Source organism: Homo sapiens, chromosome 3 (genome assembly GCF_000001405.40).
Source record: "Homo sapiens chromosome 3, GRCh38.p14 Primary Assembly".
Taxonomy (NCBI): domain Eukaryota; kingdom Metazoa; phylum Chordata; class Mammalia; order Primates; family Hominidae; genus Homo; species Homo sapiens.
The window spans coordinates 70,091,015-70,108,551 of record NC_000003.12 but is presented as its reverse complement, the minus strand read 5'-3'; the positions used below and the strand labels follow the sequence as shown (position 1 = coordinate 70,108,551).

Sequence of the window (17,537 nt, the reverse complement as noted above, 5' to 3'; positions counted from 1 at the left end):
GAGGGGAACACAAACATTCAGCCTGTGCGATGTGGCTTTAAAATATAATAGGTGAGAAGTAGCAATTAGGGAAAAACAAGTCTAACTCAGCTCCTTAGGTGAGTTATGATAAAAAAAAAAAAAAAAAAGGAACCGCAAGAGTTGAGAAACACTAACATGGATAAGCTATGCGGGGCTTGCTGACGGCTGACCTTATTTGTAGCACTTATATTGCCTGCGTAAACCTAGCCTTCTGCAATTCATCCCTTTCCCCACGTTCTTATACCTGCAATTCCAGGGGAAGCCACCAGGGCGCCTTGTTGCTATTAGAGCCATGTGGCTTGAGCAGCTGGCCTTCACATTAACAGAGAGATGATTTTTAAATTTCATTACAGCTCTTAAAAAAAATGAGAAAGAGCTTTTCAAGAAACCAGTCTAACACAATCAGCATTGGTTAAATATTCATGTTTAAAGAACAAGAGGAAAACACATCTAAATCCAAAATGGTACCTGTGACTGACTTTAGATTATTATTAATTACTGTGTAAATTAACTTGAAGATTAAATATAATTGTTTCTAATTATATTTTTAAAGTCTTTAAATTATATACCATAGAGTGAAACTGTGATTGAATGAAACTGATGATCCAGGAAGATGTACCAGGTGTATCCTTCCCATCTCACCTAACACATTGCAGGATGTCTTCAATTTAAGAAGCAAGAATCCAAATACATGGTAGGTAAAATTCTCCATGTATCTGGGTCCCTTCATTGCAATTTGTAAGACAGAATCACCTTTCAGAGGTTGGTACGTAGAATCCTCTTTCCCCCTCATTCTCTATATCCTATTAATTCGTATGACAAATCTATTTTCCTTTTATGATCTCTTTTATAGACTACCAAAAGAAATTTGAGAAGGATTAAAATGTCAGTTCACACACAAATAATTCAAATTAAAAAAAAAAAAAAAACTAAGGAAGAAATTCGGAAAGTAGAACTGAGAACAAGAGGGTTGGGTAAAGAACAGCTCCCTGCTCTCTACTAAATTAAGTCCAAACACCTTTCCCCAGCTCTTGAGGTCATTCCTGTTATAATCCCAACTTTCCTTTCTAGGGTTATTGGCAACCATTGCCCTGCATGAAATCTTCATTTCAGCCAAACCGAGACCACTCCCAATTTATGACACATAAGCTAGTTTTCCTACTTCATATATTTTCTCAAACCTTCCCTCCCTTTTATATTTTCTTACCTTGTTCCATATCCTACAGCCTCATTTCTACATGCCCAATCCTGGTAACTAATTCAAGGCCTAATTCAAATGCTATCTTCTCTGTTAGGACTCTCTTTGGGCTCTGCCATCAAATGAGCTTTCCCTCCGTTTCTTTTGAATCCAAATAACATTTAATTTGGGTGTGTCTTTTATCACTTTAGTCTCCATTTTACCCGGTCCCCCTCTACGTAGTTTAAATTTCTTGATGGCATATTTATGCCTTATTCAACATTCTATTTCCACATAGCTCTCAAGACAATGCATTACATACACTGGGTGTCCAATATTTGCAGAAGCTGCTCTGTCCCCAGCTCCAGCAATGTGAGTTGTGGATGTCACTCAGATTGGAAGTAGTATTTGCAATTCAACGTGAGCTGTTCAGAAAATAGCTCTTATTAGGCAGGGGCTTTTATGAATCATTAACAGGCAGCAGCAGTACTGGGGATTAATTTTAATAATATTTCTGTTATAAAATTCAAAGGCTATCTTAACCAACACATGTATATCCCAGACAAGTGTACCTGTTGATGATCGCAATGACCATAGCTGAATTTTAAGAGTCGCCCCTTAGTTTAAAAGCTTTGTAAAGCCTTGCCTCCCCATGTGTGGTCCAGAGACCGTCAGCATGGGTCCACCTGGGAGCTTGTTACAAATGCAAAATCTGGCTAGGCGCTGTGGCCCACACTTGTAATTCCAACACTTTGGGAGGCTGAGGTGGGAGGATAGGTTGAGGCCAGGAGTTCGAGACCAGCCTGGGTAACATACCAAGACTCTATCTCTAGAAAAAAAAAAAAAATAGCCAGGCATGGTGGCATGTGCCTGTGGTCCCAGCTACTCAGGAGGCTGGGGTGTGAGGATTGCTTGAGCCCATAAGTTTGAAACTACAATGTGCTATGATCATGCCACTGCACTCCAGCCTGGGAAACAGAGCTAGACCCTGTCTCTTAAAAAAAAAAAAAAAGCAGATTCTCAGGCTGCCCTCCAGACCTATGGGATTAGGCCTGCATTTTAACAAATACACACAAAATTTAGAAGCTCTGGTTTAAATGTTTAAATGGAAATTTATTAAAATTTTGGTGTCCATTTATTTGGACATATATTTAGGCCCAAATATATTATGCCCATATATTTTATTCAGTGGATATATCAGAAGAGCTTGTTCAGTATATTTAGTAGAATTTAAAGTCAAGAAGTTAATTGCACATAATATGAAAACAAGAATTAAAAGGAATTAAAATACCATCTCAAATCACTGTTTCTTGCATTTTGCCCTCAGACTTCCAGAAAGCAGCCAAGAGAAAGTGTTAAGGAGTAGGGAGCACCAACTATATCGTTGTTCCTGAAATTTCTCTTTCCATGAAGGAAATGAAAAACACTAAATATCAACATGACAGAGTTGGAATGAAGAGGGGGTTTCCCAGGTGGGGCTCATGAAATCCAAATTGTTTGATTCGAGTGTTCAAGGAGAAACAGAGCTTCTCTCTCACCTCTAAGGAGAGACCCAAAAGACCCCTGAGAAGAGGAGAAATATAGTCTCCCTGCCACGCTGACACCCTTAATTATGGCTTTTGAGCTTTTGATGTTCTGACACATAAATAGCTAAAAATTTGCTTTTTCATTTTGTGCACTTGCAAGTTGGAAATGTCATCAAGTTTCATCAAGATTGAAATGGGGTCCAATTTGCTAAAAATGCCTCATGCATAAGGAAGTTTTGTGCTCTCTTCCACATGGGAGTCAGCCTGCACAATACATTATGCACCTCGTGCTGGAAAGATCTCGACATGCCACTCAAATACTGAAACGGAGGGAGCAGTCACGCTTCAGGGTCTTTGCACTTTCAGAGGGAGGGGCCCCTAGCCCTCAAATATTCAATTCCCAAATAAAACCGTTCTATGTACTCACTGTAAAAGTACTGATATATAAACTCCAGCTCCAGCTTCTCCCCACTCATTATTTCTGAATCACAGACAGTTATTGTGTGGTGGTATGCCCCCAACACAAAGAAAGGCAGACTAATGGTGAAAAATAATTGCTATTTTACGTCTCTTTTGCTTTTAGCAAAGTATAAAACCAACAACTTTTTCTTCAACAATAGGAAAGCAAAGTGAATTAGTCAATGGAAAGATTACTTTCCTATAATTTCAGCCTATCTTTTAAAATTGGGGTTACATTTCCCTTGATTCTGTCTGGAGACTATGAAAGGAGAAAAAAAAAATCTCTCCCTGAGTAAGGTTCTATATATGATGGCAATCCTTGAGAAAGGGTGCTTGGCTTAGGCATATTTCTGTTTCCTTTCCCAATGTTGATTTTTTTTACTGCTTTCCCCCCAAATTCACACATAATTACTACTTTAAATAGAATAGTTGAGGCTACTGAGAACCTACATTAGAAGGAGTCTTTCTGTTCAGAAGTTCACATTGAAGGGAACAGAATCCTAAAATTTGCCAGATTACTTCCCATGGGAGATCCATATGTGAAAAACGAAGGCCTGGAGGTAATTGAGCTTCTAAATTTCCAACATACCCACACATAGAGATACACACCCCAGGCCTTGACACCCAGTTTATATGGACTGCCACAAAAGCAAGTTTCTGTGGAATCTCTTGAGGTGTTCTAAAAACTTATGACAGTTTTGCATTTTCATTTGAAAGATGTTTTAAAATAGTTTTAAGCTCCTGGCACTCTGTAAAGGTCCGACACGGTTTGGGGTACACCTTGACCCAGCTCCTTTTCCCTTGGGGGTGTTCGCATCCTCCTCTCCATGTTCAGAATTAAGGGTTCCAGTGATCATAATCGTTTTAAACTTTACATATTACCTAGGGCTTTTACTTCTATCAGCATCATCAAATGGCAAACATTAATTGAATATCTACTGCTTGTCAGGCGCCCTGAGAATCCCTTGCATGCATGATTTCACTCACTGGTTAAAATACTCCTAGAGGTAGGAACTGGTAGCTCCATGTTACAGATATGGAAATTGAGACTTGGAGAAGTTAAATAACTAGCGCACAGTATCGCAGCGTAGGAAAAAAAAAAACACGAGGTTTTGCTGATTGCTACACTAAACTGCCTATTCGTATTTGCTTTTAACAAATATAAAAGTCCTGTGAAGACTTTATTGGACTCTCACATTCAGAAGAGGAAACCAAGACTCCCAGCTTAACATCATACAATTAATAAAAAGCAGAAAAATCAATCCAGGATCTTCTGACTTGAACACCATTGGGTTTTCCGTTCTACCACAGAAGCTTAGGTCATTTCCAATTCTACGTTTCTAGAAATCTATGATAGGAAAAAAAAAAAAAAAAGCTTAAATGAATCAATAGAACATGCTGAAACTTGGAGACTTTATTTTCATGCAAATAGTCTCAGGATGAAGGGCAAGACGTAAAGATTCAATGACCTTAATTGTAAAAGAATTAGAAATTCCATTAGTAACTATCACAATTTAATAACGCTCATTTTTTGCAAGAATGTGTGATAGTTACAGGAAATTATAGCAACCTCTTAATTTCTAAGATGATTGTTTCAAGTGCATTTTCCTAGTTAAAGATTAGATGCCTTTTTTAGCCTCCAATAACAAAAGAGTTGAGTAAGAATTTTCGCCAATAAGAAGTTTTCTACCTTCAGAGCTGTCTAAATTAGGAGTGGGCTATCTTGTGCAGTAGTAAGTTTCCTGCTCCCAGGAGAATTCAAGTAGAAACTAGATGACAACTTGTCAAGGATGTAACCGAAGAGATTCACAATCTTTTAGGGTGACAGACTTTTTGAGAATCTAATAAAAGCCATTGACATTTTCACCATAAAAATGTATAGATGTGCAAATTTTGCATACACTGGGATAAGAAGTTTGCTCTGCCATTTCTATATGGCAGGAAACCATTTGGCTTGGGATTAACCTCATACATCTAGATGCAGGTAACTTATGTAAACTGGGAAACATTGCCATAGCCTTCGTTTCTTCCCTCTCCCTCAATCTGGTCTCCACATTCACATGGAAATACTGATTGCAATCTGGCATATTTTGTTTGGCCTACATGATGGTTTGCTTTGTTTTTTAATTTGTTAAATCAAGAGATTTCATACAAAAATCCAGATTTGGGGGTTTTGTTGAAAAACCTGAGATACTCAGGTAACCGTGGGCCTGCATTCCAGCACGGTACCAATTTGTTGAAGCTTAGTGGAAGCCACTCCTTTAGGTGGGGCATTCCAGTTTGCCAGAGTCCACATCACTCAAGTGCCAACCTTGGCCTGCTTTACATATTTATATGACCCATTTCACTGTGCATTTGAGTTTGCAATCCCTGAAGTAGAAAAATGGTTTTTAGTAGAAAGTTTTCCAAATTGGCTATCAAAGGGGCTGGTCTGCTTCCCTTTAATCACACCATTCTCAACAGAGAGGCACTGTACATAAGAGAGGGAAAGGGGAATAAGGCTGGGCCAAAGCAAAGAGCAGAGCAGAGCAATCAAAGCCGAAGGAACAACCAAATACATCCATTAACTTTCGCTCTCTATGTCCATTCTCTCCTGATGACTACAGAGACCCAGTTTGCACGCATTTAGAGACCAGGGTCAAGATGCAATCCTTTGAACCAGGAGCTGACTCTCTAAGCTCATTGACTGTGAGCTTGAACTTGGAGCTGTTCGTACAAGATCAGTGATGAATTCTCCCTCCTTTACCCAGTTTACCTTACAGAATAGACATGATATCACCCCTGCCACCCAGCTCATTGGTGAAAGAGGAATGAAAAATCTGGGAAAGAAGTGGCCTGAACTGGAGACTAGAGATGCTCCTCCAATGGTCTTTCCATTCAACTACGAAGTGGGATTCTCAGAAAGATCCCAGACGTCCCTAGAAAAATTACTACAGATGGTCTTCAAATTTGATAAGAATCATACTTCAGTATGTTATATGTTCACAGTTAAAACAGTTTTTTGATGCCAAATTGAAGTATTTTTACATCAGCTGATGAACAGATATTCCTCACAGTTTCATGATGGCTTTGTTATATTTCATCTGGGTAGCAGCTTATGGGAATTTGTTTGAAAGTTATATTATTATTGCTAAGAATAGAGAAGAGGAGAAAAAGATGAAATTGCTGATTTTAGTAAAAACAAAATGTGTAGAGCTTATCAACTTAATTCAGATAAGACTAAGATGGAATCTCTAAACATCCTGAAAATGGCAAGCATGTTTCCTCCGTTGAATGCTCACTGGACTTTAGCTATATGTTAACTATGAAGGAAAAGACCTAAGTCAAGAACACAAAGGAAATGTTGAAAATATATTAAAGACAGAAACTAGTGGATATAACTAGGGAACTGATCATTTGTTTCCAATATTGGAACACTACCAAACCTTCATAACTTGTATTACAAAACCTCATAACTTTTAATCATTGTTCAACCTTCTACATTTTGTCTATGTTTTCAAAAAGCCATTATCTGTGAAGTCAGGAAATTATAATTTTAGTTTCGTTATTAATTGATTTTTCAGCTTTATTTAAGCCACTTAACCTTTTTGGTCTGTTTCCTTACGAGTCAAATGAGGAATTCTATAATTCCAGGGATACTGGAGGGACAAAATGCAACCACGGATATAAATATGCTTGCAAGAGGTAAAAGGCTCTCCAGATGTAAGGTATTTTAAATACATTAGCATGTAGTGTAAATAACGCTTATTGTCTCATGTAAAACCATAATTCACAAAGAAGGAAGGTACTTTTTTCTCAAAAACACTAAAAAATTAAAAGACATATTTATTTTCTCACTCTTTAATCTATACAATTAATGCACTTGGGATGGCCTCATCCAGCATCAAAATAAACCTATATGTAAACAACGAGGTAAATTATCAAATAATAATTATGCCTCTTATAATGCAATTCTTGTACGTTTTTTTTTCATAAAAAATGTCCCCAATATTTTCCCAGGCAAAGTAATCAATATAAAATTTAGAAAATAAGTAATTATAAGTACCTAAATATGTGTTTACTTCTTCCATCCTGTCATTTGTTATTATAATATGTATGGTTTTAAATATTGGACCCATCTGATTTATAACAACACTGGATAGCACTACTCATTTATCTATTGAACAAAGGCAATTTGGAGGAGGGGGTAGCTACAGTGATAGCAATTTGTCATTAACAGCAGTTGTAATTATATAGCCTCATCTACACATTACTGCACCATCTTGTGCATTTTCCCTAAGACTAAATATCTTCTAAACCATAATAATCCACCAGATCAAAAATTCAGCTGCTTATGAAAGTGAGAAAATAGTGATTTACATGTTACACTTTAAAAGCTTCATCAAAGCTGTAATAATTTTGTTGGATAAACAATGTGATTCTCAAGATTAATAAGAATTTCTAAATATGAACAATATGTACCCTGAGGAGAATATTATCTAACAAGGAACTGATAAATTATGTTGGGCAAATAATCTGCATACTAAAATATGTGTAATGGAGACAGGAAATTAAATATTGAAATGTGTAAATAATACACAGTTTGGTATGTTGATTTTTTCCCCCCTTAGTTGGGCTAGATCCCAGCTTCAAAATAATAGATGTCCCAATGCATGTCCTTGTCACTCACACAAGAGAACAGAGTAAATTAACATATCGTTCAGATTCACGTTCACTTTAGGCAGGAAATTGGAAGTTCTTCGATGAGTTCCATTTGGAAAAGATTCTTGGGAAAGAATTAGGGAAAAATTTCTATGAGTTTTTTTCTAGACTTCAGAAAACTACATTTGGTGCTTCCCCCCCCCCCCCCCCCCACTCTTTCAAGTGGATAACTGCCTTTGAAAACTGGATAAAAATGCTGCTGGTTTGAAAGACTATGATGGGCCGGGTATGGTGGCTCATGCCTGCAATCCCAGCACTTTGGGAGGCCAAGGTAAACAGATTGCTTGAGCTCAAGAGTTCGAGACCAGCCTGAGCAACACAGTGAAACCTCGTCTCTACAAAAAAATACAAAAATTAGCCGGATGTTATGGCTCGTATCTGTAGTTCTAGTTACTCAGAGGGCTGAGGTGGCAGGATTGCTTGAGCCTGGGAGGTTGAGGCTGCAGTGAGCTGTGATGGTGCCACTGCACTCCAGCCTGAGTGATAGAGCAACACCCTGTCTCAAATTAAAAAAAAAGAGTATGAAAATATGCACCCCCAATGAAAATACTGCCAAAACTAAATTAATCAGAGTGTTGATATAGGACCTGGACTCTGTAGCTGAGCCTTGGCTGAACATTTCCTCGGAAGGCCATTTCACCAGCCATTTCTGGTAGGCCATTCAGGAAGGCTTCACCAAAGCCATATGTGAAGTTGGCAAAACTCATGTGGCACTATGTTCTTCCTCAGGACAGTTACTTCTGAGAGGAGATAAGCTGACAGGTCTTCACAGGTCTGCACAGGGAACATGCAAGTACACAGAGAGGGACGGTGCAGGGTAGCAAAAACTCCCCAGAATATTGGGTTATGAAAAAGTAATAAATGTTAACCAGCCAAAGAGCAGGTAACTGCAGAGGGGACCACGTGAGCAAGAACTTGGAAGAATGAGACGTATTTGCCAAAACTTAAGTAGGAGATGGAGAATGTTTAGAAACAAGACTGCAGGAGTAATCAAGGCCAAACTGAAGGCAACAAAGAACAAGCTTGAAGAAAATATTAATAATTTTGGCAAAACATATAATTGACAAACAATTGATATCCAGAATATATAAAGAACAATTATAAATCAATAAAAAGACCATCCAGTTGAAAAACTGATAAAAATTTTAGACAAATTTCCAGAACACAAACCCTAAATGACCATAGAAACATTTTAGAAGATATTTAGCTGTGGTAGGAATGGGAAAAATGGAAGTCAAAACACAATGAAGTGTCATTTAAAACCCATCAGATACACAAATCTGACAATACCGAGTGCAATCAAAATGTGGAACAAGCAGAACTTTTATACACTGTTAATGGGAGAGTAAATTGGTATAATCACTCAAGAGAACTATGTGGCAATGGTCAATAAAAGTTTAAAACGCCAATACCTTTGATCCAACAATTCACCTTTTTGTAATAGACCTTAGAAATAAATATAATATTTGTGTGTAAATATACATGTGCAAGAATCTTAATAGAAGTAGTGTCAATATTTGAAATATATATAAAAACTTAAATGTCTGACAAAAGGAAATAGCACAAAAGTGTGATCTATTCATACAGTGAAACATTAAATTGCATTAAAAATGAACTAGAGCCTTACATATCAAAGGTGAATCTCTTAAATTTAAAATTAAGTGACATAGAGAAAAAACTAGTTGCAGAAAGATATAAGCCTTATCATGCCAGTCATATATATAAAGTCTGAAAACATGCGGTGTAATAATCTATATTGCTTCAAGACACACATAGATATAGTAAAATGTAAAGAAAAGCAAGGTAAATGAAAACAATAATCGCCACACTTTAAGAGAAGGGTTTTTTACTACAGGGGCACAAAACCCCTGGGAGTTTCTCCTTATTCTGATAATATTTTTTCTTAAGCAGGGTGATAGGGACATAGGAATACATTGTACTATCCTTTGTACCTTTTTGTACACTTTATACTTCAAAGTAAAATTTTAGAAATGAAAAAGAGGCCGGGCGTGGTGGCTCACACCTGTAATCCCAGCACTTTGGGAGGCCGAGGCGGGTGGATCACAATGTCAGGAGTTTAAGACCAACCTGGCCAAGATGGTGAAACCCCGTTTCTACTAAAAAATACATAAATTAGCCAGGCGTAGTGGCAGGCACCTATACTCCCAACTACTCGGGAGGCTGAAGCAGGAGAATTGCTTGAACCAGGGAGGTGGAAGTTGCAGTGAGCCGAGACTGTGCTACTGCACTCCAGCCTGGGAGAGAGAGCGAGATTCCGTCTCAAAAAAAAAGAAAGAAAAAAGAAAAAGAGAGCTCACTCAGGTGGCAGTAGGGAGAACGGAACAGGATAGGAGGGAAGGGAGAGAGGCAAGATGTGTGAGACCGCTTTCAGTTTGCAGGGATTCCTGCCATTGATGAAACGACACACAAACCCTACATTTCCCAAGAAGGTTTGGACAAGATGCTGACTTTATCTGGACTCTAGTCTCAAAAAACCTGGACTCTAGAGGCAAAATTGCCCTGCAATAATTTCTCTATCCCCCAAAAATCCACAAGTGGGTAAATTTGGCAAAAGCAGCACAAACTTAAAGCTGGAGAACACAAATGACTTAATTCTAATTCAAAAGTAATATCAAGTTCCCCAAGGAGGGGAGAAAAAGCTAATTTAACCTTTCAACCCCTTGCTCCCTATTTATTATGTGGTGAGAATAATATGAAGAATGTTGTGAGGATTAATACATTCATTTCTCAAGCTTTGTAGATAAAAATGTGCTCCATAAGTGCTTTATTTTAAGAACTATGAAATGGTTTGTTTATTCCAGTATCCCATTCAGCCATTTCTCAAACCTTATCTCCCGGTTCTGGGTTTTGAGATGAATATAGGGTCTTTTAAATGATTGCGAGTAACCTTTGAGGATTATGCATTTTAAGCACTGGTTCACAATGAATATGTGACCAGATATATGTCACATAGGAGAAAGTCAAAAATATAATCCCTAAGAGGTTAATGATACAAATTGTATTTGGAGTTTCAATTTGCCGTAATAATTCTGAGCCCTTTCGAATAAGTGACTTCAGTCTTGGCACCCAACATCTGCCAATACGATTCATCCTGATTTGGGGCCTGTTAGGAATAAACTAGGGTTTGGGCTGAAGGCAACAAATCAAGTTATAAAATTTAATGGAAATATATAGACTAGATGCTTTATAAAAATAGCAAAAGAAGTTTATTCAAGTAGTTTTCCTAATAGCAGGTAATGGTTTATACCGGTTCATCCACAATTTTGTGCCTAGCCTCCTTTGGAGAAAGAACCAATACTTGGAATAAGACTGTCCTGCTTTCAAAGAACAGTAGGCCTCATGGTGAAGAAACAGAATCATGAGTGCCATCTAGGGCCCACATCTCTCCTGACCTTGGCTTTGTTTTTTCTCTGTTTGAACAACAATTCTGACTGCTTTGTGTAAACTCCAAATTCATTCATTCATCCCACAATCATCTACCAGAGGTATGGCTTTTCACAGTTCTCTTTTACCAGCTGTGTTAAAACCAGTGTTTGGGGTGGCACCCAATATTCATTCACATATGGGTCAGCATTTCCCAGATTGTGCTATAAGAGGCTTATATGTGATCTGCAAGGGGAGAAAAACAACTTTTATGATTCTTTAGCCATATGATCATGTCTTCTTCCAGGAAGATCACAGGTCGTATTTGTATTTTCAATTCAGAAAATGTCACAAGCTAGTTTTACATGGTTCAATCCAGTGTTTCTCAAACTCACCAGGCCATAGACATCTCTCAACACCTCATAGTTCTTTAGGGTTACACAGAACAGGGTTTGATCAACGCTATTCTAGACATACATTCTGTGACCTTGTTAACAGAATGAGGAGCTACATGGACAATAACAACATGTTGCTGTTAATTAACTAATTAATTCTGTAGGCAGCTTCTAAGATGACCCCCCAGTGGCCCTCATCTCTTGGTATTTATGGCCTTGTGTAGTATCCTTCCTTTGAGTATAAATAGGACCTGTAACCTACTTGTGAACAAAAGGTCACAGAATGTCACTTTCAGGATTAGTCATAGATGTGACTTTTGTCTTGTTAGCAGACTCTCTCTCTTTGAGAGAAGGGCTCACTCTGTGGCCTAGGCTGGAGCGCAGTGGTGCAATCATAGCTCACTGCAGCTTCAACTTCCTGGGCTCAAGCAATCCTCTCTTCTCAGTCTCCTGAGTAGCTGGAACTACAGGTATGCGCCACCGCACCAAGCTAATTTTTGTAATTTTTGTAGAGACGAGGTCCCAGTATGTTGCCCAGGCTGGTCTCAAACTCCTGGCCTCAAGCTATCCTTCCACCTTGGCCTCCCAAAGTGCTGGGATTACTGGCATGAGCCACTGCACCAGCCAAGACTGTCTAACTTGCTAGCTTAGATGAAGCAAGTGACCAAGTAGAAGAGGCCCACCTGGCAAGAAACTGGTGACAGCCTCTGTCCAGCAGCCAGCAGGAAACTGAGGCTCTCAGTTCAATGACCCACAGGGAACTAAATCCTGCCAATAACCATGTGAGGTTAGAGGAAGAGCCTTCCCCAGTAAAACCTTCAAATGAGACCTTATCCTTGCCCAATACCTTGAACGTTGACTTGTGAGAGACCCTGAGGCAGAAAGCTCAGCTCAGTCATGCTGGACTCATGACCACAGAAACTGTGGAAAAATAAACATGTGTTAGATTCAGACTCTAAGTTTGTGGTAATGTGGCAATAATCTTATATGTGTCAGTGATATGCATTGAGATGCAACCATACGTCAAATTAGTTATTTTCTTGGACCCCACAGAACTTCTAGTGAAGTGGGGTAGATAAGCACTGACATATTATAGTTAACAAGAATATTATAGTTAACACTTAGATAGCACTTATTTGTGGCACATAAATAGCCTAAGTTCTTTCTATATATTTTCTTATTTAACCCTCAAAACAACTCCTAAGAACCATTACTGTCTATATTTTATAGGTGAGGAAACTGAGGCCAACAGAAATTGAGTGCTCAGGTTCCCCTTCCTGGCAATTGGCAGAGCTGGGTGTTGAGCCTACTTTTTAAACATAATGCTAAAATCATGCTAACAAATGTGAAATATATAACACGACGAGTCCTACAAAGAAAAGTATGTGATTGCACAACAGTCTCTCATAAAGGATTTGAGATGGAGCAGGGACCTCTCTTAGGAGCCTGTCAGGCACCTCCCTCTCCCATCAAGCATGGAAATAAAGGAAAATCTTGAGTTTATTTAAGGGAAATTCCAGGCACCTAGCTAGCCCTGAGAAGCAAATGAGCAACTTAATAAGCAAGAAGGTAAAAGTAGCTTAAAAACACAGCCATGGAAGTTAGAGTCAAAAGATGGTTTGTTCCCTAAGGGAACTAAAGATAACCTCTTAACATATGTCCTCCTGTGGTTTTTCAGAAACCTGGACCTCCACCAAATGGATCTACTGGCACGTAGACCTAAGATAAGGGAAAACTGAGGACTGAACCCTGACCTCCATTCTTTGCTCTAAATTTCTTCCTGAGGGGCCTGGAGGTGATGACGCTTACTAGCCAAAGCTAACATTGTTTCATGCTGACCCCAAATTTTTAGACAAAGTTTCACCTCCTTAAGCAATTGCAAATTAGAAAATCTTTGAATCTACCTGTGACTCCTGTGGGATCCTGCTTTGAGATGCCCTGCCTTTTTAGGTGAAATCAATGTACAGCCTCTATGTATTGATTTATGACTTTGCCTGTAACCTCTCCCTCCCCACCTTTAAAAACCCTTACCTGTAACCTGTCAAGAAGTTCAAGAGTTCAGCATCAGCTGCCTGATTCTCCTTGGTTGGCACCCTGCAACAAATGCCTCACTCTTTCTCTCGCTGCCATCTCAATGTCAGTGTTTGGCTTTGCTGCACAGGATAGGTGGACCCACCTTCAGTTCGTAACATTTAGCCAACCAGGGAGTAAGGGCCACTTAAGCTGAAATATGAAATTTAAGTAAAACTTTATTAAAGAGAGACAGGCATTCCAGGCTGTGAGAATAGCAAACACAAAGGCCCTGTGGCAGGAAGGGACAATTTAAATCAGACAGGATGAAAAAAGGCCATTCAGGGTGGGACTGAGACATTGGGGAGAGGTGAGAGAGCTCAGAAGAGCCAGACAGTGCAGAGAATTTTAGAGCATATTAAGTAATTTTGTCTTTATCTTAAGAGCAATGGAGTGGAACGTCATCAAAGGTATTTAGTGGGGATGGGGAAGTGGGAGGCTCACGTAATCATATTTGCATTTTGAGAACATTACTCTGAACTCTGGAGTAGAATACACTGGAAGGAGTCAATAATAGATGTCTGAGGCTATTAGATGAGTTCAGAACAGATGTCATGAGGCTATTAGATGAGATCCTGGTGGTGGCCTATACAGTGGAGCCGATAGGGATGGAGAGCAGCAGGCATGATCAAGAGATATTTTGGAGATGAAAACAGTGATTGGGCAAGGGAAGGTGAGAGGAGAGATCAAGGAGGATTCAAAGGTTTCAGCCGTGCACAATCTGAATTTTATATAATTTGCACCAATTTCAGGCTGATGGTTCCCGTTTTCCAAAGTCAAAGGCAGAGCCTCAGGAATGTTGGCCCCCAGAGTCAGGTTTTTGGTTCCCCATATATCACAAAATAAAACATTGAAAATTTACTACAGAAGGTTAGGGGTTGCAAAACGTCCCTCAAAGGCACCTAAGGGCTTTGACTGAGGACTTCAATCACCCATTTAAGAATCAAAAAGCTTTGGTTTTAGAAAACAGATTTTTTTAAATGAATGGGCCAATATGGTTTTGCTCCAGGCGTCATTTCAAACACTTTCTTCAGAAGTATTTCTGAGTCTCAGTTTGCATCTCTAAACTAAAGAACCAAAGAGATCTGCCCACTCCACCGTGCCACATGGGATACATGGAATTTCACAATCTTGACTCCTTCTTTGCATAGCTATTCAGGGATCTCTGTGCACCATACCCAAACCCCACCCTTGTATCCAGCTGGAAGGACATTACTAAATGTCACCCAAAGAGGAGACCTGTGTGCACCATGTAAATAAGAAATTATCTTAAAGACAGTTTCTTTAATTCAGAAGACGGTTGTGGCAGAGGTCTAACACAGAGCAAGTCATTTAGTCATCTACAAACAACCAAGTTGCCTTTTCTTGAGGCAGAAAGATCTACAATCCAAGCCATTGACAATCTAAGATAGTATCATCCTCAAGAGTCTTAACAGCTGGTCCAGATCATTTCTGCAGCTCTTGTTTAGTTTTTGGTAGCCTCAATTTTCTTATCTACAAAATGGGCACAGTTGCCCATAAACCTGCTGTGGGAATTAAGTGAAGTTATCCATGAAAGATGTTTGACTCACTGCCTGACATTGAGTGTGCTCTCTGTCAGTGCGCATTATTCTGATTATGCCCTGTCCCATGCTATTCAGAGAAGAAGGCAAGAACATTGAAGGCAGAGAAAAGACAGCCCTTTAGCTATGGAAGCTCACATTGTTGTGGAAGAGACATGAAACAAGCAAGGGTTTGAAATATGAGGATCAGCAAAGATACCCAGCCGTGCCTCAGATCACTCCACTCTCTTTCTCATCCCATGGTTCTCACTGTTCCCATCCCAGGAGAGCCCCCTGAGGATCTCTGGAACTGATTTGCAGAAGAAAATTTGAAGAATATTTATCTGGTGGAAAAAAAAAACAAAAAAAAAAAAACAAAAACACTAGACAACACATCCGGAGACCCTCCCTCAGAACTTTATCAAGCGAATCACTAAACCTGTCTGTCTCAGGTACCTCTTCCACAAATAAAAGGAGTAATGGTCACATCTATACACAAAAGTACATTTGCATTTACGACAGGATAAGATGAGATACCAAGTGAACAGGTAATTAAAAAATTAAGCATCCAGTGTCTATTAAGCTCCGACTGTGTGCTGAGCAATGTAATGAGTGTTGAACAGAATACAGAACGAGTTTATGCAGGGCCCCAGCTTGGGAACAAAGAAGAAAGGTTCTTCTTTGGGTGGGAGGAAAGAATAGCAGTTTTAAATTAAACAGTACAAAGCAGGAAATAATAAAATGATAGATGATGTAGGAGAGATGATCATGTCATATGATTCTCGAATGATGAGAAAACAATGAGACGAAAGCTTTATAAAAAAAAAAAACAGCATGAGTTTGATCAAGAAAGATGATGAAATGGAATGTAGAAGTTATTCCAGGTGAAAAATGATGCAACTGATGACCCAAAGGTGGGAATGAGTAAGGCACGTTTGGAGGAAACAGAAGTGTCCATCATGTATATTCTCATATACCCATGAATACATATATATCTACTATGTGCCCACAAAACTTAAAAATTAAAAAAAAAACTAAAACTATATATAGCTTCAGGAGCATAATCTTTGAAAACCTCATCTAATTCCACTCTCATTTCGTGACTTAATTTCAAAGCAAGTATCACTTCGCATACAGGCAAATTGAGACCAGAGAGGTTCATTTCCAAATCAAAGTTAACCAGCACAGTGGAAACCCAGGCCTAGAGCCTAGATCTTCGCTTCCTTATTCCTAGATGCCTCTTGGATATTAGTGGTTTCAGGTTCAATGAGGAGAAATTAAAAAATAAAACAAAACAAAACAAAAAAAACCCCTTAATTTCCTTTACTTCGTGTATGAACTGAAAGAAGGCAGACAGGGGTTCCAAAATGTAGGCACATGGAGTTCAACTGAATATTTGAGATTATAATATTATTCCTTCTGAGAACCCTGCCTGTCCACTATCATTAGAGATCTTTGAGTGCATACCTCTTGACTTTTAGAAGAATACAGTTTAGACAAATGAAGGCTCCTCCAGCATCTATTGTGTGCCTGTCCTATGAGTCTCTAGTTTCTGGAGACATCACCAAATATTTGCCTGTCACTCCCAGCTTATGATGTTGCCAGACTTGCTTATTAGGCTGTCCATATACGTCAGCATTCTTGGATATTGGAAGTGGTTACTTTCAAGATGCCTCATCAACAGATTTGGAAGGGAATTGCTCAAGGTGACTACAAGCAGGATTTTATAAAATCAGTGAACAACAGGAAGTCAGTCCCTACTGATAAAGTTTTACTTCGAATTATCAATGTGCCATAAAGTTGACAAAAATTATTTTGGCTGCAGCAGTCAGATGTGCCCAGATAGTCCCCAGTCTTGGGATAGAGCCTGAAAACCACACAAATCCCACCAACCTGAAGCCCTTGTAAGCTTGTTTCAGTGGAAATCTCTATGGTTGAGCCAAGAGAGATCTGGGAAATACAAATGCATTAGTGTGAAAGGCGGCTGCGACCCATGCCTGAGGGCTTCACATACACAATCATTTAGGATCCTCATCTCCCAAGTGCCTTGAAATGGTTGGAAATTATGCAGACTGTGCCATGTTGCAGCCTAATCAAAAATAGACTTGTGCATTTTTCCCCCTTGGGTCACGTGTTAGGTCACCCAACACAAAGTACAATACGCTAAGCCATCCAAAGTGTCGATTCACCCCATTTGTATGTGGTCTATGATGGATGGATGAGCTGAGATTAAATAAGACCCCTTTCTCAGAGGCTAACATAA

General features: G+C 39.0%; 1 long non-coding RNA gene across 13 annotated transcripts in view, besides 2 other annotated features; it reads right to left on the bottom strand.

Moving 5' to 3' along the window:
• The window catches only part of SAMMSON (survival associated mitochondrial melanoma specific oncogenic non-coding RNA), a 435,002-nt gene that overhangs the window by 326,038 nt on the left and 91,427 nt on the right, over positions 1–17,537 (bottom strand). The window lies entirely within an intron of this gene.
• Positions 11,815–11,914: an enhancer, noted in NCBI's record as "active region_20056". NCBI's record gives its function as "activates an Ori minimal core promoter by ATAC-STARR-seq in GM12878 lymphoblastoid cells {active_cell/tissue: GM12878}" and the evidence as "EXISTENCE:reporter gene assay evidence [ECO:0000049][PMID:35858748]".
• Positions 12,035–12,144: an enhancer, noted in NCBI's record as "active region_20055". NCBI's record gives its function as "activates an Ori minimal core promoter by ATAC-STARR-seq in GM12878 lymphoblastoid cells {active_cell/tissue: GM12878}" and the evidence as "EXISTENCE:reporter gene assay evidence [ECO:0000049][PMID:35858748]".